The following is a 24793-nucleotide window of genomic DNA, read 5'->3' as shown; positions in this document are numbered from 1 at the left end:
GAGACCCCGTTTCATGGAGCTCACTTGCACACTTCTTTTTAGTAGTTCAGGCCCGCCGGGGATAATCTCCCTTTTGCTGAACAAGCCAGCCGATTACAGACTTGACGTATATCTGAAAACCCCCCTCTCCTTGGCCCTATAGTGTAACCTAATCACACGGGTGGCATTCTTCATAGTCACAGATGCTGCTCATAGAAGGCAGATACACAGATCAGGGAGTGAGACACTCAAGAGCTACCTTAGACCGCTGCCTACTACCAGCAGCCAAAACCAGAATGGATGTTTTTCCTCTTGTTGGCTACATTTAAGATGAGGATGAGGATAGGATGTGGGCAGAAGAGTGGCTCTGGACCACCTGGCTTGGTATAGAGCCCACTTCCAGGCAGGGAGGGAAACTGTAAGAGTTAGGCATATTCAGTGCTTCCGTCAGTGGGGCTTAAGTTCAGAAGAAGATTTTAGCTCTTGAGCATGATTCTAATCATGAACAGGATTCCGGAATAAGACAGAACCTGAGGCATTTGGCCTGGGAAATGCAGTGGGAAAATTGTGGGTCATGGAGCCCCAAGCCCACCCCAAGCATGGTGAAATGTAGAATCCAGGTTCCATCTGCTGCTGGGTTAGTCACGCCTCGGGTGTGACCAGCCTTTGAAATGATTGGCATGGGTTGCCCCCACTTAGCTGCGAATTCTACATTAGGCTTTTCTCTTTCATTTTTCATAATCAAAGCTAATTTTCTCACATTCCATCCCTTCACAAATTTCTATTTGTGATAGCTAGTTATTTGTTATCAATGTAACCCTCCCAGTTAATCCTTTTGATTTAAATAGAAGTCTTCCATGGTAAATAATATGAATCACAAAAGAATGATGAAAATGATGGGAATTACATTAAAATAGCCCTTAAATCCAACCTTTTCTTATGTTCATAATTTCATTATGTCCAGTGATTTTTTTGCAAGGAGCAAGGTCTCTCTCTGTTGCCCGGGCTGGAGTGCAGTGGCATGATCATGGCTCACTGCAGCCTGGACCTCCCAGACTCAAGCGATCCTCCCACCTCAGCCTCCTGAGTATCTGGGGCCACAGGCATGTGCCACCATGCCCAGCTGATTTTTATATTTTTTTGTAGAGACAGAGTTTTGCCATGTTGTCCAGGCTGATTCTGAACTCCTGGGCTCAAGCAATCCTCCTGCCTCAGACTCCCAAACTGCTGGGATTACAGGCGAGAACCCCCATGCCTGGCAATGTGCAGTGAATTTTTATAGGGAGACATCATGTCTTTTCCTCACAGACAAATCAGAATTGTGATATGTTCCTCTGGAAATTCATGAGCTTGTCTATCTGCCTCACTCACCTTCCTGGCTGGAAGCTTTCGTTGCGTCTCATCTGTAATCTGTTATCATTTTTCTGAGTTTCACACATCTGTACCATTAGATGGGACAGCCTTTGGAGACAATAGAGAAGAATTGGAGGGTTCATCTTAAGTGCTTCCAAATTCTACCCTTTAACTGCTTTGGTTATAGAATGAAGCAAAATTTAGATGTGTTAATTAAAGTAGATATCTGTACTCATTGCTGATTTATTCAGTCAAGGTAAGCAGTTCAACGTGGTTTTACAAGATGAACCTGGATGCAAATCCAGTGATATCCCTTTAGGTAAGTTATGCATCTCTTTGAGCTCCAGTTTTGTTGTCCATCATCTTATTTCAAGGAGTCGTTATGAAATTAAAGTTTGGAGAATGTAGGTAAAATGCTTGATCTGTTTAAACGCCAGCTACTTGGCCAGATATTTTAAAAATGAAAAAGAAAACAACCCTCACTGCTAGGTACTTATGTTCCTAATGAATGCCTTATCATGGTCTTTCTCAAAGAAGAACTCGATATTGTCATAGCAACCATCCAAACCACACTGTGATACAAGTTTCTTCTTACTTGAGAGCGATCTAGCATTTTGTTTTTGGGAGCAACAAATGAGAAGTTTGCCACCTCTGCTTATGCTAATCCCACATGATAAATTTTATTGGAGTCAGTATTGCATGTATAATGCCAGTGGGCTTAAAAGTATGAAAATGAGTTGGAAATGTTGGTGAAGTTGTAGGGAGTTTGAAGATGGCCTACATACTATCAGGAAGGAGGAGGTGGTATGTAGCACAAAGGAATGATTGATTTCTGAGAAAGAAAACATGAAGATCAAGGCTCACGGCTATAAAGATTTAGGAAAAACAAACAAACAAACAAACACAAGAACATCCAAAAACAAGTTTGGAAAGGCTTTGGATTCAATAATTAGCTAGCAAATAAACGTGATAAAACCTGTGCCCTAATGTGGCATTTTATACATTTACAGCTCTGTTTAAAAAGGAAGCTTCCAGTTTCAACCCAGTAATTTTAGCTGTTGTATCTGATATCATTTTAAAATTTTGGCTGTGCAGAGTAATCTCTAGAAAGTTTATTGACAATCCAAAACCTGATGATGTAAATTTGATTATGCTGCCACGCTGCATTTTGTAGTCTTTGGTTGTGTGGTTGAAACCATAGGATGTGAGCTCCCAGCTTACAGTTGAGAGTTTGTCTCTAACTTGTATTTTGCCCATCTCTCCATCTATGCCCCCGCCGCCACACATTTATCAACCATTTTGTCGTGTATTTATCTGTTTGTTGTCTGTCTGTGTTCACTACAACTTCTGTGAACATGCTTTGGCTTCAAAGTGGCACACATCTCTTCTAGTCATACCCATCAGATAAAAGGAATCAGTGTAGCCAACCCTAAATGTTAAGGAATTTGGGAAATCAGGTCATCTGGTGTCGGGGAAGAGGAGGAAACAGATTTCGATGAGGTGCCAGCTGTCTCTGCTACAATACTTATTTATCAGTGTGGTTTGATGATTACAAATAATATGTAAGATATTTAGTAAATATGGTGCTTAATACAGTTCTTGAGAGTTATTACTGATATTCATTCATTCAACAAGCACGCACTATACTGGTTTCAGTGTAATTGCGAAGATCCTACTATATAACTCCTTATTTCCCCTTATTTTCAATGCAGAAATGAATAACCCCATGTCATCCTACATTTCTTTATTTCTTTGATACAACACCCAATAATAACCTACACCTGCTTTGTCTTGAAATAATGCAGTCATCCCCTAATTAAAATGAAGTATCTGTCATAAAGGAGGTACTACCCATGGTGCCCAGATGTTATGTCAAGAGTATATGCCAGAGGCCCTCTCGGAAAAAAAAAAAAAAAAAAAAAAAAATCTCCAAAATATCTGTGAAGATCCCTGATACATGCCTGCTGCTATAGAATTCGAGAGGGACCAGTAAAATGTTGTATAATTCTTGTATAAAATGAACCTTCACTACAGACTGGGTGGCTTAAATAAATAATATGTTTATTTTCTCACAATTCCAAAGTCAAGGTGTCAGTAGGGTTGATTCCTTCTGTGGCCTCTCTCCTGGGCTTACAGATGTCTTCTCCGTGTACCTTCACATGGTCTGTTTTCTGTGTCTGTCTATACCTGAATCTCATCTTAAAAGGATTCCATTCATGTTAGATAAGACCCACCCTAATGCTGACATTTTAACTTGGTTACCTCTGTAAAGGCCCTATCTCCAAACAGTCACATTTGGGATACTGGGGGTTTGGAATTCAATGTATGACTTGTGAGGGGACACAATTTAGCCCATAACACTTGTAGCTGTGCAGCATATTGGCAGTAAATAGCAACTTGTGAGGTTGGCTACATAGTAACTGATTAACTAGATGAACTGCTAGTCTGTGGCCCAGATGTATACGAATATCATTCTCAGCTGTGAATGTCTTCAAACGGAGGACCTGAGTTGTCCAATATTCTTGTTCATTTTGAAAAGAAAATCCAGTAATAAGGATATTTATCAAAAACTGCCCAAACTTCAAATGTAAGTCACTACAGTGGAATTGCTATTTATAGGAGAACTGGCAAAGTTCAAGGTCAAGATGTGAGATGAAATAACACAATATGGCCGGGTGCGGTGGCTCACGCCTGTAATCCCAGCACTTTGGGAGACCGAGGCAGGTGGATCACCTGAGGTTAGGAGTTTGAGACCAGCCTGACCAACATGGAGAAACCTGGTCTCTACTAAAAATACAAAATTAGCTGGGCATGGTTGCACATGTCTGTAATCCCAGCTACTTGGGAGGCTGAGGCAAGAGAATCACTTGAACCCGAGAGGTGGACGTTGCAGTGAGCCGAGATTGCGCCATTGCACTCCAGCCTGGGCAACAAGAGCAAAACTCTATCTCAAAAAAAAAAAAAAAAAAAAAAAAAAGAAAGAAATAACACAATACATAAATATACCCAGTTACCCTTCAAAATCTCTGAAATTACTCTTACATTAGTGGATCCTGGGCCCATGAAAGCCCAAGAGCCAAGAAGTAGCTGTTTTATTCCTTCTTTGCATTTAGGCTGTGGTTGCCATTCATGAAGTTCTCAGATTTGTTTATTTTACTGATTTTATTTTATTTACTTTTGGCTAAATATATGTTTTTAATTTTTGTGAATTATATGTGTACTTAGTATGTTTGTGCTATAATTTGAAAATTTTAGAATATTGTTCAGGTAAAATTAAGGTGAATCTGGAGAACACGCTAGTGTGTATCTTTATTTCAGATAGAGGACACTGAGCTTAACACATCAAGCAGGGGTCAGGATCTAATACTTTTAATACAGTAACATTTATTCCTGCTTGTAATCCCAGCACTTTGGGAAGCTGAGGTGGGTGAATCACTTGAGGTCAGGAGTTCGAGACCAGCCTGGCCAATATGGCGAAACCCTGTCTCTACTAAAAATACAAAAATTAGCTGGGTGTGATAGCGCATACCTGCAATCCCAGCTACTCAGACGTTGAGGCATGAGAACTGCTTTAATCTGGGAGGCGGAGGTTGCAGTGAGCCGAGATCGTGCTACTGCACTCCAGCCTGGGCGACAGAGCAAGACTGTTCTAAGGATTTTTTCACTCTATGCTTCTCTACTTTTTCATTGAGATAGTTACAAAAAACTCATACCATTTCCTTAATCCTCTCTTGTCGTCTCAGAAGGCACCAGATTTACTGGAGCACTCACAAAGAATTCTAAAGACATAAAACCATGCATACATACAAACACACACACTCACACGTACATTTCAGTTGGATTGAAATATGATTTCCAGCATCTCTGCCATTCCAAAAATGGACACAAATCTTAGGTGAAAATAAAAAGACTTATTGGCATAAAGATAATAAAAGTTAGAAAGCACAAATATATTTTTCTTTTCTCAAAAGAGAGGTGAGTGAGTGGCTCCCAACTGTTCATATAAATAACTGTGTGTAAAATGAGCTTGTAGCCAGAAAGGGTAAAACATAGGTCAGAAAGAAGTTACAACTAACAGTGACAAAATGAAGATGGCAACATCATCCATAAAGACATTGACAGAAAAGTAGAAAAAAAATTCCATTCTATTCTAAGTAAAGCATTTACTGTCATTATCTTTTCTGTCAAAAAAAAAAAAGAGAGAGAGAAAGAAAGAAAGGAAAGCTTATCAGGAATTAAATGAGTATTTTACTTGCAAATAATTTCCCAGGTGTCTTTTTAAAATTATCAAAGTAATGTGTGCTTAGACTTTTTAAAATTTCAGAAACATTCAAATTCCTCTCTTCCATCACTTAATCCCATTCTTCAGAGTTAATCAAAATTTGCTATGTGTACCCAATAAGTTAATGCATATACAGAGTGATATACAACATACAGACAAATGGGCTAATAATAATAGTGCATGCTATTCTGCAACTTGCTGATTTTATTTAAAAAATAGACCGCCTTCTTTTCCGTGTACTTCTAGAGTTATAACAAATGTTTACCAATTGTATGTATGAATGGCAGCCAGCCCAATATTGATGACTGTTTAGATTGTTGCCATGGTTTTTACTGTGGTTGCAAAGGACATCCATGTACATGTGTTTTTGAGGACATATGTGAGAATTTCTGCATGTACATCTAAGACATTGATAAATTCTGCCAAGATAGCTTAATAGTGTATCCATTTATTCTCATTAGCTGTTTATCATAAGCACTTTTATTTGTATACTTTCTAATATGGATTTTAGCAGATGTGATTCCATTGTTTCCATTTTTATCACTTTGAGTGAACATCTGAGAGGGTGTGGATTTTTTTTTTAATATACTCTTCTTGTATGGAAGTCCATATCTGTTTGAAGACTGTAATATGGACAGGATCTTTGTTGTAAAATGTTTAAGAGGTTTTGCTATGTTGCCTCCATAGTAAATTAGAACATCCATTAATTCTGCCTTTGACCTTGATTACTCATGCAGTGCTTTTGCCCATGCGTTGCTCTATACCAGGGGTCTCCAACCCCCGTGGCGCCAGAACCTGTCTGTGGCCTGTGAGGACCTGGGCTGCACAGCAGGGGGTGAGTATGGGCAGATGAGCATGACGCTGGAGCTCCTGTCTGATCAGCAGTGGCAGTAGATTCTCATAGGAGTGCAAACCCTATTGTGAACTGCACGTGTGAGGTATCTAGGCTGTGTGCTTCTTACGAGAATCTAACTAATGCCTGATGATCTGAGGTGGACCAGTTTCATCCACAAACCACACCCCATCCCCATTGCCCTCATCTGTGGAAATATTGTCTTCCACAAAACCACTCCCTGGTGCCAAAAAGATTCAGGACTGCTGCTGTAGACTGCATAACTGGATTTTAGGATTCTACAAAGTCAGTATTTTGGGTATTATGCTTATTCACTTTAGAGACCTCAAAACTGTAATGAGCTGCAAAATTTTAACTCATTTGCTATGGTATTTGACTATAATTCTTCTATTTAAACCATATTGGTAATCTGTATTTATACAATAGCTTTCTCATATTCCAAAACAAAGATTTCTTTTTTATAAGCAACTTTGGATTTTGCTTTCATTTTTCCCTCCTTTCTTAGGTCAGTTTGTAAGCTATGTGTAGGATATAGCAGGTTAGATAGCTGAATTCATGACAGATAGCATGAAATACATACAATTTTTCATCCTAAAAATTTTGTAGTAATACCGCATTTCTTATTTTCTTATTTTTTTTTTAATTTTACTTTATGTTCTGGGCTACATGTGCTGAACGTGTAGGTTTGTTACATAGGTAAACATGTGCCATGGTGGTTTGCTGCACCCGTCAGCTCATCATTTACATTAGGTATTTCTCCTAATGCTATCCCTTCCCTAGCCCCCCACCCCCTGACAGGCCCCAGTCTGTGATGTTCCCCTCCCTGTGTCCATGTGTTCTCATTGTTCAATTCCCACCTATGAGTGAGAACATGCGGGGTTTGGTTTTCTGTCCTTGTGACAGTTTGTCAGAATGATGGTTTCCAGCTGCATCCATGTCCCTGCAAAAGACATGAACTCATCCTTTTTGTACACCATGGAATACTATGCTGAGTTGTATTTTATGGCATGGATGCAGTGTTTTTTTCTGTTCCTGTGTTGGTTTGCTGAGGATGATGGTTTCTAGTTTCATCCATATCCCTGCAAAGGACATGATCTCATTCTTTTTTATGGTTGCATAGTATTCCATGGTGTATATGTGAACAGCTCCTGCATTCATTGATTTTTTGGAAGGGTTTTTCATGTCTCTGTCTCCTTCAGTTCTGCTCTGATCTTAGTTAGTTCTTGTCGTCTTCTAGCCTTTTTTTTTTTTTTTTTTTTTTGAGATGGAGTCTCACTCTGTAGCCCAGGCTGGAATACAGTGGCGTCATCTCCACTCACTGTAACCTCTACCTTCCAGGTCTCAGTTCAAGCAGTTCTCCTCCCTCAGCCTCCCGAGTAGCTGGAATTACAGGCACACGCTACCATGCCCAGCTAATTTTTGTATTTTTAGTAGAGACGGGGTTTCACCATGTTGGCCAGGCTGGTCTTGAACTCCTGGCTTCAAGTGATCCACCCACCTCAACCTTCCAAAGTGCTGGGATTAGAGGAGTGAGCCACCATGCCTGGCCTTTTAGCTTTTGAATTTCTTTTCTCTTGCTTCTTTAGTTCTTTTAATGGTGATGTTAGGGTGTCAATTCTAGATCTTTCCCTCCTTCTGATGTGGGCATTTAGTACTATAAATTTCCCCCTTGACACTACCTTAGCTGTGTCCCAGTGATTCTGGTACATTGTCTCTGTTCTCATTGGTTTCAAAGAACTTTGTTATTTCTGCCTTAATTTCATAACTTACCCAGTAGTCATTCAGGAGCAGGTTGTTCAGTTTCCAGAAACTGCAACTAATGTGCAAAATAACCAGCTAGGATCATGAATGCAGGAACAAATTCACACGTAGTAGTATTAACCTTAATTGTAAATGGCTTAAATGCCCCAATCAAAAGACACAGACTGGCAAATTGGATAAAAAGTCAGTACCCATCAGTGTGCTGTATTCAGGAGACCCTTCCCATGTGCAGAGACACACAGGCTCAGAATAAACGGATGGAGGAATATTTACCAAGCAAATGGAATGCAAAAAAAAAGGAGAGTTTGCGATCTTAGTCTGATAAAACAGACATTAAACCAACAAAGATCAAAACAGACAAAGAAAGGCATTACATAATGGTAAAGGGATCAATACAACAAGAAGAGCTAACTATCCTAAATATATATGCACCCAATACAGCAGCACCCATATTCATAAAACAACTTCTTAGAGGCCTACAAAGAGACTTAGACTCCCACACAATAATAGTGGGAGACTTTACCACCCCACTGTCAGTATTAAACAGACCAATGAGGCAGAAAATTAACAAGGTTATTCAGGACTTGAACTCAGCTCTAGACCAAGCGGTCCTAATAGACATCTATAGAACTCTGCACCCCAAATCATTCTTCTCAGCACCACATAGCACTTGTTCTAAAATTGACCACATAATTGGAAGTAAAACACTCCTCAGCAAATGCAAAAGAACAGAAATCATAACAAACAGTCTCTCAGACCACAAGGCAATCAAATTAGAACTCAGGATTAAGACAGAGGATTCTTTTCTTTTCTTTTCTTTTCTCTTCTCTTCTCTCTTTGTTTCTGTCTCTTTCTTTCTTTCTTTTTCTTTCTTTCCTTCTTTCTTTCTTTTTCTGTCTTTCTTTCTTTCCCTCTCTCTCCTTCTCTCTCTCTCTCTTTCTTTCTTTCTTTTTTTTGTTTTAATGGAGTCTCTGTCGTCCAGGCTGGATGGAGTGCAATGGTGCAATGTCAGCTCACTGCAACCTCAGCCTCCCAGGTTCAAGCGATTCTCTTGCCTCAGCCTCCCAAGTAGCTGGGATTACAGGCTCCTGCCACCACCCCTGGCTAATTTTTTGTATTTTTAGTAGAGTCAGAGTCAGGGTTTCACCATGTTGGCCAGGCTGATCTTGAACTCCTGAGCTCAAGTGATCCACCCACCTCAGCCTCCCAAAGTCCTGAGATTACAGCCGTGAGCCACCTCACCTCGCCAACATTTCTGATTTTCAGTGGTTACTTTCCATTTAGTGACTGAGTATGAAGATATTTTAGGAGATTCAAACCTTTAAAAAATTTTTTAAAAAAATCTATTTATAGCAAATATCTGTACAACCTTTCTCCAGAGTCCCCAACTGTTAACACTTTGCCACATTTGCTTTATCTTTCTTTGTCTCCCTCACTCACACCTTCCCCTCCTTCCTTTCCTCTGTCTCTCAAGAAGCTAAACATAATTGCAGATAGACTGACATTTTGTTCCTAAACACTTCAGCCTATATCTACAAAGGCAAAGGGCAATCTTCTGTGTAGCCGCTGTAATGTGTGATGTAAATTTCAAGGAATTTAACATCGATACAATGATATTTCTTTTGTAGTCCATATTCAAAGATCCTCCCAATTGTTCCCAAATTGTCCTTTATAGCTTTTTTAAGCCTTTATTTATTTATTTTTTAGCAGTTTTAGGTTCACATCATAGAGAGGAAGGTATTTCCCATCTACTCCCTGCCCAAATGTGCCCATACCCTCTCCATTATCAACATCCCCCACCAGAGCGGTACATTTTTTGCAGCTGATAAACCTAAATTGACACATTGTAATCACTTCACATTTATAGCTTACATGAGGGTACACTCTTGGTGTACACTCTGTGGGTCTGGACAAATGTATAATGATATTTATCCATCAACATAGTATCACCCTGAGTATTTTCACTGCCTTAAATATTCTCTGTGCTGTCTCTATTCATCCCTCCGTCATCCCTCAGTCCCTGGCAACTACTGATATTTTCAATGTCTCTATAGTGTTGCCTTTTTCCGAATGTCGTATAATACAACATGTGGCCTTTTCAAATTGGAATCATACAAGATGTAGCCTTTTCAAATTGGTTCTTTCACTTGGTAATATGCACTTAAGGTTCCTCCATGTCATTTCCTGGCTTGATACTTCATTTCTCTTTAGTGCTCAATAATTTTCCATGATCTGTATGTCTGATACTTTATCCATTCACCTGATGAAGAACATGTTGGTTGCATTGAATTTTGGCAATCCTGAATAAAGCTGCTGTAAACATCTGTGTGCAGGCTTTTGTGTGGACATGATTTTAGTTTTCAACTCCTTTGGGTAAATACTCCAGGTATTGCTGCATTGTGTGGTTATAGTATGTTTAGTTTTGTAAGAAACCACCAGATTTCCAAAGTGACTATACCGTTTTGCATTCCCAGTAGCAATGAACGAGAGTTCTGTTATTCCACGTCCTCACCAGTATTTGGTGTTGCCTTTGTTCTGGGATTTATTCTAATTGGTGTGTAGTGGTATCTTGCGTTAATTTGCTGCTCCCTGAGGACATAAGATGTGGAGCCTACTTCTTTGCCATCTCTGTATCTTCTTTGGTGAGGTATCTGTTAAAGCCTTTGGCCCTTTTTTAATGTTTGTTTATTTATTTACTGATGAGTTTTAAAGGTTGTTTGTATGCTTTGGATAATTTTTTTAAATTATTCTGACCAAAAGTTTAGTCAAATATACAGATCACATTCAGTTATCATGTATCTTTATTTTGCTTTAGTATAGAACAGTCTTCTCACACACACCTAATTTGCACCTTCAAAAATTTGAATTGTAAGGGTCAGTTGTTTGCAGAATTATCCTGCAACCTCGATTTGTTTTATTGTCTCCTCATTGCTAAATTTGGGTTAAACTTTGTTGTCGTTAATGCTGAATCCTTTGTAACTGACAATGCCCGTGTGAATCTTAGTTACAGTGATGCCTGCCGAATCTCCCATTGCAGAAATAACCCTCCTCTTTTGAAATTATTAGGGAATCTGTGGGCAGATACTTGGAAACTGCCAAAATCCCGATTCCCACCAATCTTGGATCCATTTGCTGTAGCTTCTACTGGTGATCCTTGAGTGAATTAATTATTATATCAGTGCCTTCAAAAATATGATTGTCTGTGCCGACAGTTCTTGCCATATTTATTCTGTTGTTCTGTATGGAAGAACTCTTTCTTACTCCTCACACGTATACTTTTTAATATTATCATATATTCATGGATTTTTTCTTTAATGTATTATAACCTGTTATCAATCTATTCTTTTTTGTATTTATATTTTCCCAAACTTGGCCAGTGGGACCTCATTTGTCATAGAACATAGGGTATTGGTTGAATAAACTATGATTTATCCACACGTGAGGTTACTGTATGGTTGTGAAAAATAATAAGGAAATGTGTATATACTACTGTAGAATTAATTGTAGGGGAAATTAAGCGAAAAAAGTATATAACATGCTATCAATTATCTAAGAGAGGTGCTTAAATACACACACACACACACACACAGACACACACACACACACCAGCTTCTGTTAGAGGTAAAGCAGAAATCTAAAAACAAACAAAAAGATAGTGAATATATTAAACAGACAAAAGTAGAAGTGAGACATCTTTGACAATTTTATGTTTTTAAAGTTTGACTTTAGAAACTTGAAAATATTTTCCATAATTATAAAACAGAATTAAATATTTTAAATAGAAAGTTCTAAGAATAAAAAATAAAGTCAAAAAAATGAATGCAAGTATCTTTAGTTGTAATCATAGCCACATTATTCCAAGTGACTTTAGAATACAGCAGTTTGACTATACATCTTTAATGAGGTACATCCCAAGACAAAAAGAACTACAAGCAGAAAAACTTAAACTATGATTAGTAATCAATTTAATGGTATCATTCACATTGTGTATATAATGTAGTCTAAAATAATGAGTAATTATGTGACATCTAATCATTTCATTTTCACGATTTTGAACAAGAGAAAAGAAGATTAAGATGGAAGACGAAGGAGATTATTTAAAACCCTCTACTCCTCGGTTTGAATGGGAAATATCAGATTGAACTCGTGATGTATTTTATCTTTAAAAAACGAACAAAACATACCTCTTGTCACTGAAAAAGCTGACAGACGTTTATGAATCCACTAGCAATGAGTATCTCTAACCATCCACATCGTCATCTTTAAATGCCATTTTTATTTGTCAAAATGATTTATTACAGGTCTAGAACAAAAAGTGTTCAAAGCAGACTGGAGTCTCTTGTCATACAGGATGGCAGGGAAGCTACCAAAGACTCTTGCGCCTCTGCCACAGTTCAGGATCCCATTCTAAGATGTGCCAATTAGCTATAGATAACCACCAATCAAAATAATAAGTACAATCGATGGACATCATTAATATGTGTGTGTCTGTAATTTCGTTTTTTTTTTTTGAGACGGATTTTCACTCTTGTTACCCAGGCAGGAGTGCGATTGTGTGGTCTTGGTTCACTGCAACCTCTGCTTCCCAGGTTCAAGCAATTCTCCTGCCTCAGCCTCCCAAGTAGCTGGGATTGCAGGCATCCGCCACCACGCCTGGCTAATTTTTGTATTTTTAGTAGAGACAGGGTTTCACCATGTTGGCCAGGTGGGTCTCAAACTCCTTATCTCAAGTGATCCACCTGCTTTGGCCTCTCAAAGTGCTGGGATTACAGGCATGAGCCTCGCACCCGGCCTTTTCTATAATTTTTTAATAATGCTTTTAAAAATTGCATTTTTATTCATTGCTAGAGTCAACTTATTTTGAAAATGTATAAACCAAGAAAATAATAGAGCATTTATTCTGCCTTCCTATACAAAATTTATCTCTGAGTAACAAAATAGCTATTGAGGGAAAATTTATCTTGATAGAAATATGTTATCTAATAGTTTGAGAAGAAGTGATAATATTAAAAGATCACCATTTTACAATTTTAGCGTATCTTCCATAAAGAAGATACACTACAGCCAAATGTAGTCAGACTCAGGCATAGTCACATAGTGCTTCCTTCTTGAAGAACAAAGCAGCACCCTTACAGGAATCCCAGCAAAACATATTAAGCCTAAACCTAGTCAAGCCTGTAGAATCAAATATAACTTTTTTTTTTTTTTTTTTTTTTGAGACAGAGTCTTGCTCTGTCGCCCAGACTGGAGTGCAGTGGTGCAATCTCCACTCACTGCAAGCTCCACCTCCCAGGTTCACACCATTCTCTTGCCTCAGCCTCCCGAGTAGCTGGGACTACAGGCACCTGCCACCACACCCGGCTAATTTTTTGTATTTTTAGTAGAGACGGGGTTTCACCATGTTAGCCAGGATGGTCTCGATCTCCTGACCTTGTGATCCGCCTGCCTCGGCCTCCCAAAGCGCTGGGATTACAGGCGTGAGCCACTGTGCCTGGCCACAAATATAAAATTTTCTATAATAAGGACAATGAAGAAACTTGTTCAGTAATACCACCCATATGCAACTGGCAAAATTTAGATTATGAGAAATTCTACAATGGATTAACCCATTTTTCTTCAAATTTAATTGTAAAAACAGGAAGAGAGATGGGTGAGGGAACTTGTAAAAGCAACTGAAGAGAAAATGTTGTGAAATTAGAGAGTGTTGATGGCTGCACAACCTTGCAAATATTCTAAACACTGCTGAATTATACACTTTAAAAGGGAGAACTACAATATATTAGTTATGTCTTAATAAAAAAACATTGAACGCCAGGCACAGTAGCTCAGGCCTGTAATCCCAACACTTTGGAAGGCTGAGGCAGGCAGATCACTTGAGCCTAGAAGTTTGAGACCAGCCTGGTCAACATGGCAAAACCCTGTCTGTATGGCATATACAAAAAATTAGCTGGATGTAGTGGCACATTCCAGTTGTCCCAGCTACTGGGGAGGCTGAGGTTAGGAATCCCCTGAGCCCTGGAAGCCGAGACTGCAATGAGCCCTGATCATGCCTGCACTCCAGCCTGAGTGACAGAGGGAGACCTGGTCTCACAAAATAAATAAATAAATAAATACATTAATAAATTAATAAATTAATTAATTAAATTACAAGAAGATATAATATACATTCCTTCCAGTCCCAAAATATGGACTTGTTTGGATCTCGATTCAAACAGATTTGGAAAAAATTAAAATTATGGACACATAAATATTTGATGCCATTAAATGCTTATTTGTAATTTTTCAGTTCCTCTAATGGTATTCTAGTTAGGTTTTATAGGAAAATTCCTCCTTCGTAGAGATACATATGGATCATTTTTGTTGAGTAAATAATATGATATCTGAGATTTGCCTCAAAATAATATAGGAAGGGAAAGTGGGTAGTGATATTGATAATATCATTTATCCATGATAATTCATACTGATAAAACAAGGTTGGACTCAAGTTGATAATTGTTGAATAAGGTGATGAATAGATATACATGGGTCTCATTATTCTGCAACTTCTGGATAGGTGAGTAATTTCCCCTCAATGAATTGGATTTTTTAAAAATTCATAAGTACATTTTGTTTCCTTTATTTCAACTCCAACATCATGAAGCTCCTTCTCACCTTCTTCAGCCACTGTGAAAAACTCGGTTTCCAAAAACATCAGTAAGTTTAGTAATTTTTCATCTTAACATAAATACAAATAGTTTCTGAATTCCTACACCTATATCATACCAGTAATCAACTTAGTAAATAAAGTACAAAATTTCTTTTGGGTTCCTTTTTTTGTACTAAAGGATATACAGAGCACTGTGTCCAAAAGTTACTTGAACTACTTTTATTTATGTACTGACATTGTCAGCTCAATATGTTTCTGGTAATTTTCAGTTTTAGAGTTTGCTTTTTTTCTCCTTTTTATTTAGTAAGTATTGTTGTGATTTTGTGAAACATTTTCTGTGCCTCACACCTGAAACTGTAGATAGTCACGTTAGGGAAACATGGCTCCCATTCGATCCCTTTAACCCATTTCCCTACTCCCTCATAGGTAACCATTTTCACTAACTTCGATTTTCCTTTCTACGTTTCCTTTTACAAAAACAGCTACTTTTGTATGTACTTAATTTTCTTTGCTTTTGACATAGAAAGTCCCTTACTATATTCTATTTTCTGCTTTGTTTTCTTTTTTCTTCACAGATTGTACTTGTCTTCTATGGTCAAGCATTTCACTTGTTTCTGAAAATTTTTTTTCCTTTTTTTTTTTTTTTTTTTTCAGACACAGGCTTACTCTGTCACCCAGGCTGGAGTGCAGTGGCCCGATCTAGGCTCACTGCAACCTCCGCCTCCCGGCTCAAACGAGTATCCTGCCTCAGCCTCCCAGCCTGTAGCTGGGATTACAGGCACGCACAACCACACCCGGCTAATTTTTGTATTTTTAGTAGAGACCAGGTTTTGCCACGTGTGCCAGGCTGGTCTTGAACCCCTGACCTCGGGTGATCTGCCCACCTCAGCCTCCCAAAGTGCTGGGATTACAAGCATGAGCCACCGCACCCAGCCCATAATTTTCTATTATAAATAATCCCACAGTAAACACCTTGCGCAGATGTTGTTTTGCAATCGCGGAGGTATATGATTTTGAGTGTTAATCGCAACCATTGGAATTTGGGAAGCGTGGCATAAACTCGCATGTGGTTCTGTTGGGTAGTGCTGACCTCCCCGACGTGCCTGAGTTTCCGGGTCAGCTTCATCAAGAGCGTGTGTTGTTAAGCTCTCAAACCCTGACCCCAGTAATTCTATACAGCGTATTCCATGGCTTTAAAAACATTAATTTAATTCTGTCAAATAAAATATATATATTTTAAAGTGTTCATAATATTTATCACAACTAGTAATAAAATAATACTTAAAGAAAAAAGAAGTGATACTTGAGGCATTTCTTGCAATGTTGACAATATAAAACACAATTTTAAAGTGGGTTTAATGGGCATAGCTTTGGTGATCCGATATCCTTTGTATTCATGAAAGAGGGAACCCAGAGAAGTGAAATCCCGACCCTACATGCTCAAACAGCACTGTCCTCTGCTCTTCAAAACTAAATCACTTACTGCAGTTGCTGGCATGTAGCCAAACCGAGTGATTCCTGAGCGGTCCCCCCTCCCGCCCCCTATGGAGCCCCTCTGGTGTAGGATCCTCATGAGCAGCAGAAAGGTCTCAGGCCTGTGGTGGGAGGGACATGGAGGTGACAAGGCCCAGGCCTGCACTGGCTAATTAGTGTGGGGCTAATTGACCTTTCACAGTAATTGTATTGCCTGCCTTTGGGAACCAGAGAAGGGGCCTTTCAGTATCTTTACACAGCATAATATTTTTGATCATAATGAAAATCAGTCATAAGAAATGTGAAATAAATTGAAAGGCTAAATCACAAATATTCATCTTTTAGAAGTCCCCCTTTTTTTAAATGAAGGATCAGTTTGAAAGGATAGTTTCTGTTCTCATCCAATTAATATAAATTGGCATTTAGTGTTCATTGAAAACTATGGAGGGGAACTGGAGTTCAAGTGAAAAAATATCACTGGGAACAATTCCCTTTTTGATTATTCTGACTTACTGTGAACATCTCTGGCTCATCTTGTCTTGAAACACATTTCATTGTTAGCAGTGACCAAACAAAATAGTTCTTAGCCATTACATTAAAAAACACCTTTAAATAACACCTTTTTTTTTTTTTTTGAGACGGAGTCTCGCTCTGTCACCCAGGCTGGAGTGGACTGGTGCGATCTTGGTTCACTGCAACGTCCACATCCCAGGTTCGAGAGATTCTCCTGCCTCAGCCTCTCAAGTAGCCAGGATTACAGGCTTGTGCCACCACGTCTGGCTAATTTTTTTTAATGTATTTTTAGTAGACACGGGTTTCACTACATTGGCCAGGCTGGTCTCAAACTCCTGACCTCAAGTGATCTGCCCTCCTTGACCTCCCAAAGTGCTGGGATTACAGACGTGAGCCACTGCATTCGGCCTAACTTATTAAATCATTGCCGTTTTGTCTTTTCTTGGCATAGAAAATACGTTATTAAAAACTGTGATGGGCTTCCAACCACATCTGCTTAAAGCCAGGTGCAGTGGCTCAGGCCTGGAATCCCAGTGTTTGGGAGTCCAAGGCAGGAGAATCATTTATGCCCAGGAATTTGAGAATTTGAGACCAGCCTGGGCAGCATAAGTGAGATCCCATCTCTACAAAAAAAAAAAAAAAAAAAAACTAGAAAATTAGCTAGGTGTAGTGGCGTGTGCCTGTAGTCTCAGCAACTCAGGAGGCTGCCATAAGAGGATCACTTGAGTCTGGGAGTTCGAGGCAGCAGCGAGCCTTGATCATGCCACTGCACTCCAGCCTGGGCTGTAACAGAGTGAGACCCTGCCTTAAAAAAAAAAAAATCTGTTTGTTAGAAGTTATTTTCAGAAGAAGCAAAAAATAGAAAGAATGCCAAGATTGTTCAGCACAAAAAAGGACAATTTAAGGTGTTATTAAAAGTGTGTCTTCAAAGTTATTTAAGAAAGAACTCAATGTAAAAATGTTTTAACATTAGAATCTGTTAACACTATTGATTTTTAAATTAGTCTGATCATTCTTGGCTGATTGTATTCCTTTTCTAGATAGAAAATGTAGTCTATTAAAAATCCAAATAAAAATCAGAAATGTTCAGTCTTTAAAATGTAAAGTTATTACACATTAGAAAGTTTGACAGCCTTCCACTGAAATGATTTTTTTCCCATAAGTTATTGGGGTACAGATGGTATTTGTTTACGTAAGTTAGTTAGTGGTGATTTGTGAGATCCTGGTGCACCCAACACTCAAGCAGTACCTACTGCACCATATATGTTGTATTTTATCCCTCACTCCCCTCCCACCCTTTCCCCTACGTCCCTGAAGTCCATTGTATCATGCTTATGTCTTTGTGTCCTCATAGCTTAGCTCTCATCTATCAGTAAGAACATACAATGTTTGGTTTTCCATCCCTGAGTTACTTCACTTAGAATAATAGTCTCCAATCCCATCCAGATTGCTGTGAATGCCATTAATTCATTCCTTTTTATGGCTGAGCAGTATTCCATCATATACCACGATTTCTTTATCCACTCATTGATTGGTGGACATGTGGGTTGGTTCCACGATTTTGCAATTGTGAATTGTGCTGCTATAAACTTGCGTGTGCAAGTATCTTTTCTGTATAATGACTTCTTTTCCTCTGGGTAGATACCCAGTAGTGGGATTTCTGGATCAAATGGTAGTTCTGCTTTTAGATTCTCTAAGGAATCTCCACACTATTTTCTGTAGTGGCTGTACTGGTTTACATTCCCACCAGCAGTGTAGAAGTGTTCCCTGATCACCGCATCCACACCAACATCTACTGTTTTCGATTTTTTTATTATGGCCACTCTTGCAGGAGTAAGATGGTATCGCATTGTGGTTTCGACTTGCCTTTCCCTGATCACTAGTGATATTAAACATTATTTCATATGTTTGTTGGCCATACACTGAAATGATTTTAAGCATTTTGTATGAGGAAATAGAGTTTAACAGATTTAGAAGGAACTGAAAATGAATGAATGATACTGAAGATATTGAAGACAGCCCTACCTACTTTACAGACCATAGACAGTGGTACAGTAAGTATGCCAATGAGTATAGACTGATCAGTATGCTGATAAAAGCACACTGGCTGGGCACTTCTGCCAACATGTCTACTTATGTCGTGAGCACAGAGAGGTGGACAATCCAAGGTGGGATGTTTGAAATAGAGCATTGGGCTCAGAGCCAGAAAACTGAGGCTGCAGGCCTGGCTCTTTCATTTCCCAATTATGCATCAGACTTGACTTGGGTAAGTTACTAACGCCATCTGGAATGTTTCCTCACTTCTAGGTATGTGCTTAAAGGATCATAGAGTCATTCAGTAGACACAGGGGAGTGTGTTTTATGAACAGGTCCCTACAGTAGGTACTACAGACACAGTTGCAGTATTTTTTCTTAAAGACGGTATTGTCTGGTAACAGAGAGCAACGCATACAAAGAAACTACAATACGACGTGATAAGTGCAGTCTTCCCTGGGGTGACGGGATCTCCAGAGGTACAGACTTTACCTTGAGCCAGCACCAGCATCCGGAGTCTGCGAGGTGTGTTACCAGCTCACCTATACCATCTTCTTTTCACTTTCCATACTCTCACTGATTCCTCTGCAACCCACTTGTTCTTACTTTCATCCTTTTTGTTTGTTTTGTTTTGTTTCCTCTTTAAAATCACACTGGACTAATCTTTACTTTGCTACCTCCTATACAGCCCCGTCCCAGATCCTGTCTTCTCATGTTTTTAACATTTCAGCTATCTGGCTCTTCTCTGAATCATTCCTTCGTACCTGGGGTGGTTCCGTTGCAGCATCCAAACCCTGGTCTTCACCATGGGCCCCTGTAGACTTGTCCTAGTTTGTCTGCCTCATCCAAGTCTCCACTTCCTCTCAGCAGAGTCAATGAACACCAGCAGAGGAGTCGATGGCCTGGGTTCCTACCCTGGCTTCACACTCGGGAGCTGGGTGTTGTTGAACCCATCGTGAACTTCTCTGTGGCTCCCCTTTGTCTTCTATAAAGTGGAATCAACAGCAACCACAATAAGTAATCTGTAAAACAGCATTATCTGTGCCAGGCACAGTTCTCTTGGATTTACACACTATTTCTAGCTCTGTTTACACACTAACTTTATGTATGTTGTCTTGTATTCTTTGTCTTGCTATAACAAAATACCTGAGACTGGGCAATTTATAAAATTCTGAAAGCTGGGAAATCCAAGGTCAAGGTGTTGGTATTCAGTGTCTGGTGAGGGCCTTCTTGTTGTGTCTTCACTTGCTGGAAGAGGGGAAGAGCTAAAAGGGCAAAAAGGACAGAAAGTCACTTGCACTGCCTTATAAGGGCACTAATCCCATTCATGAAGGCTCTGCCCCATCATGATTTAATCACCTTCTAGAGGCTCCACCTCTTCATGCAATCACATTGATGGTTAAGTTGAAACAAATAAATTTTGAGGACACATTGAGACATAGCAGATGGTGATAGTTATTCCCTCATCAGAGTGTGAGAATAATAAATAATTTATTATGTCTCAAAACCTGTAATGGTCTGCAATATACGGCTAAGTATATTCTATATGTTTTTTATTATTAACATAACTATTTTCATAACTCCTGAAAACAATGTATTAATAATGTGGTATTGTTAACAATTTTAGAATCTCATTATTAATCATTTTAGAGATGATATTTGTAACTCTTTATTAAGTGCTTGGAAGAATCTGAAATATTTGGATCTTAACTATGTGCCGTTGAAGGAACTTCTTTTTGGAAAAAGAAAAATACATCAGTTTTTTGTATATTATTGGATAATGTCCAACCAGATGAGAGTTGATCATTGTTTGGCAAAAAAAACTCCCATGGATGTTTTGTTAATACTGGTATGTTTCCATGTCAAGGATCCTATAGACAGAAAGCCCAAGATACTGATCCCTCAGTCTCCCATGGGTCATCAGCTGTGCTTGACAGTGTAAGACCAAACCCGGTTACAGAAATACCTACTTGGTTTGTCTACACTGAAGAATTTGTTACTGCCTTACTTGTTGGATTAATATATTGTTATAAAAAAAGAAAGAATTGTATTAAGGGTTTTCTCTTTGACAGGTAATATTTTATTTATTGGAGAAACAAAGATAAATAAGACATTGTTTCTGCTCTAAGGTAGCCTGAAACCATATTGGAGCACTCTGATGTCTTCCCACCGAAAATCTCTTTCTTCCCACATCTGAGGAATTTTTTTGTATACTAGGAGAACTAAGTAGTATTTGGGGCTTTTGCGTGGCTGTACAACTGGACTGTATCCAATGTACTGTCCATGGAATGTGGCTTTGAACTGAACCAGTGTGGTGTGTGAGTCCACTGTCTGTCAAAGGCACCGCTTCTGGAACCAAGAAGATTTTCTGTAAGAGTCAAAGATTAAGCAATTAATGATTTCAGAAACAGGGATGCCAACTGAGGGAAATGCGTCCTATAAGTATCACTGTAACTACTGAAATCTGTTTGAGAACTTTCTTTTCCCCTTTGCAGCTGTACCCTGAGCATTAGGAAAATCTGGATTTGAAATCTTTTAGATTTCATCAACATTTGTCACATTTTACCTGTCCCTGAAAATTCACTCAGGTTCTTCACGTGTTTCATGGCATCTGGCTATATGGTGATATAGGAATTATTTTTTTGTATCGATTTTTAGTTCACAGAAAGTTGGAATGCTACCAGAGAGATTGTCACATTGATAGCTTCTGCTTATTCTGCCTTCTCTGTATATTTTCCAAACAGAAGTGTGCAGCTAAACAGAATTCTGACACCTTATTCATGTACAAGATTAGGGACCCATCCTCTTTAGTTTTCTGAAACTCATAAATGGTAACAATACTACCAACGATGTATCATTGCGGATCGGGATCTGAGCTCTTTACATTTCCTTAAATCTTCAAAACAGCCTTCAAAGTTGATATATTATTGTCAATGGCAGAAAGCTGGGAAAGGAAGAATCATTTGCCAAAATTCATACAGCTAATAAATTATGTAGAGCTTGAGTCCGTTTGACTTTAAATTCTGTGTCCTTTCTTTCTTGTTCTGCTGGTTCCCTCTGTGGCACTTTGGGCACTGAGCTTATGACTGTTTATATTCATTGATTCATTCACTCCTTCATTCTTTCTTACTTCCCTTCAGTCATTCACTTTTTCAAACTTTTAGAATTCATAGATATGTTTCTACATCTCCTGGCTCCAAAGCACTGTGTGAGGTGTTCTGATGAATGCTACTATGGCCAAGTTGCTGCTCTCAAGTATTTCTAAAATAAGTTGGAAGATAAGACTCAGACACAGACACACACACACACACACACACACACACACACACACAATATATATGTATATACTGTCCAAGCTCTAACCACTGCAATAAGAAGAGCACAGTAAGCAAAGATTTTTAGATTCAGATGAGGGAGAAAGGTGTTACTTTTCTCTAGGAGGATCACAGGAAGTAACTGAGTCCTGAACATGGAAAGGTAGGGAAAAAATGTGGATAGAAACCTCAAGATAGGCTAGGGTGCTAATTCTCCACTTTTCCTTCTGTGGCAAAGCTCACATGCTCCTGTGCAAGTCCTTGAGTATACTCGGATCCTGATGCCCATTTCTCTGAAACGACTTAGGCTAGAGGCTGTGCACAGCTGGAGGAGTGCTGCCTGACACGGAGCTGATCATGGACAGTGATAGCTTGTCCAAATAGAATGGAAAATAGAGGACTGTCTGCCATTATTGATTAGAGGACAAGCAGAAATCTCAGTGCCATAAAAGTATGCCATCTTCTCATGTGCCTACAGGTCAGCGAGGGTGCCCGCGGCCTCAGGCTGGCTTCAGCTGCGGGTCCCTGCTTCATGCTGTGAGTGTGGCTGCACTTGGTCACCTCAGTGGGTTGGACTCAGGTCTGGGCCATGTGTGAACAGGTAGAAGCTTTCTGGGAAGTTCTGTTTTTTGCAACGGAGTCTTGCTCTGTGCAGTGCAGTGCAGTGGTGAGATCTCAGGTCACTGCAACCTTCGCCTCCTGGGTTTAAGTGATTCTCCTGCCTCAGCCTCTTGAGTAGCTGGGATTACAGGCACGCACCACCATGCCCGGCTAATTTTTATCTTTTTAGTACAGACGGGGTTTCACCGTGTTGGCCAGGCTGGCCTTGAACTCCTGACCTCAAGTGATCCGCCCACCCCAGTCTCCCAAAGTGCTTGGATTATAGGGGTGAGCTACTGTGCCTGGCAGGGATGTTCTTTTGATGGACCTTAGCAGCGGGACAAATATAAGGCCCTGGTTCAACCACATCTGCTAACATCCCTTTGGCCAAAGCCATTCATGTGGCTGGACACAGATTGCAGGGAGGAAGTGGGGAGCATGATGTATGCGCACTAATGTACAGGCGTGCATGATTTTGAAGAATAGTTTAATCTGCCACATGTATCATATAGGAGGGGTAAGGAAGATGAAAAATCAAATCTAGATCATGATTTAGAAAGGAAAAAAGTACAAACACACTTGAAGAACATGGGAGATGTTACAGTCCATTTTACAAGTAATACTGAGACACTTTAGAAAGATTATGTAGCACACACCCAGAATTCTTGTATGTATTGGACTGGAGTATGGCGATATCAGATGTGGGGAGTAATTACAAAGCTATTATCATGAGGAAGGCCTAAAACGGGGAGGTGACTATTGAGATGTAAAAGAGTTGAAGATGTGAAGGGTAATTCTGAGACAGAATTGCTAACTGTTGGTGCCTTGCCGATGTCAAAGATTAGGTAGGAGGAATTCAAGATAGTGATTCTCTTGCAGCCCGTTACAAAACATGGGAGGATAATGAGATTTTTAGGTGGGAGGGGAAGGCTCGAAGCGGGTGATGTGGGGGATGGTTTTTCCTTTGACAGAAACTGGGAAGTCATGCAGGGGAGCACTTCAGGTCAGAGAATGATGCACAGTGGCCTCTGCTGAGTAGGAGCAGTCCTAGGGAGAGACTGGGAGCTCTGAGAATGGGGAGGGGCACAGGGCCTGGGGATGAGACGGAGCCCCAGGGTGTAAGAGTAGAGAAGAGGTTGGAATGGGATTTAAGGACGAAGGGTGTCCTGGTGCCCTCCTGGGTGGAGGAGGCAGATTCTAGCCATTGTATTTGGGGTCAGGGGTGTTGGTGAGTGCTGGGCACCACTGTTCGAGGGACATTGATGGTGAGGGCAACAGAAGAGCTTGAGAAAGCAGCAGGGAAGGGCATCATTCATCGCTATGAGTTATGGATGCATTTCACTTGAGTGTTCTTGGAGCATTCCTAAAATGACAATGGCAAGAGGTATTTGAAAGGCATTGGTTTATTTGTATTTAATTTAATTTAATTTTATTTTTTGAGACAGAGTCTCTCTCTCTGTTGCCCAGGCTGGAGTGCAGTGGCATGATCTTGGCTCACTCCAACCTTCGCCTCCCAGGTTCAAGCAATTATCTTGTTTCAGCCTCCCAAGTAGCTGGGATTACAGGTACATGCCACCAAAGCCGGCTAATTTTTTTTGTATTTTTAGTAGAGATGGGGTTTCACCATTTTGCCCTGGCTGGTCACAAACTACTGGCCTCAAGTGATCCGCCCGCCTTGGCCTCCCAAAGTGCTGGGATTACAGGTGTGAGCCACTGCGGCCGGCCACATCGATTTACTGAGAGAGTAAGGTCCTTGCTGTGTCTTAAGAGGGTAGCAAGCATATGAGTAACTGCTTCTATGTAGTAGATATTATTTTTTGGTTGGGGGGGTGGGGGTGGCGTTCAAGTGATCCTCCTGCCTCAGCCTCCCGAGTAGCTGGGATTACAGGCGCACGCTAACACGCCCAGCTAATTTTTGTATTTTCAGTTGAGATGGGGTTTTGCCATGTTGGTCAGGCTCTTCTCGAACTCCTGACCTCAGGCTA

General features: G+C 39.8%; 1 protein-coding gene across 6 annotated transcripts in view; it reads left to right on the top strand.

Annotated features, from left to right (window-relative positions):
• PRKN (parkin RBR E3 ubiquitin protein ligase) overlaps positions 1–24793 on the top strand; it is a 1380350-nt gene that overhangs the window by 439242 nt on the left and 916315 nt on the right. The window lies entirely within an intron of this gene.

Source organism: Homo sapiens, chromosome 6 (genome assembly GCF_000001405.40).
Source record: "Homo sapiens chromosome 6, GRCh38.p14 Primary Assembly".
Lineage (NCBI taxonomy): Eukaryota > Metazoa > Chordata > Mammalia > Primates > Hominidae > Homo > Homo sapiens.
Note: the sequence above shows the minus strand (reverse complement) of the source record. Positions and strands in the feature narration are given on the sequence as shown.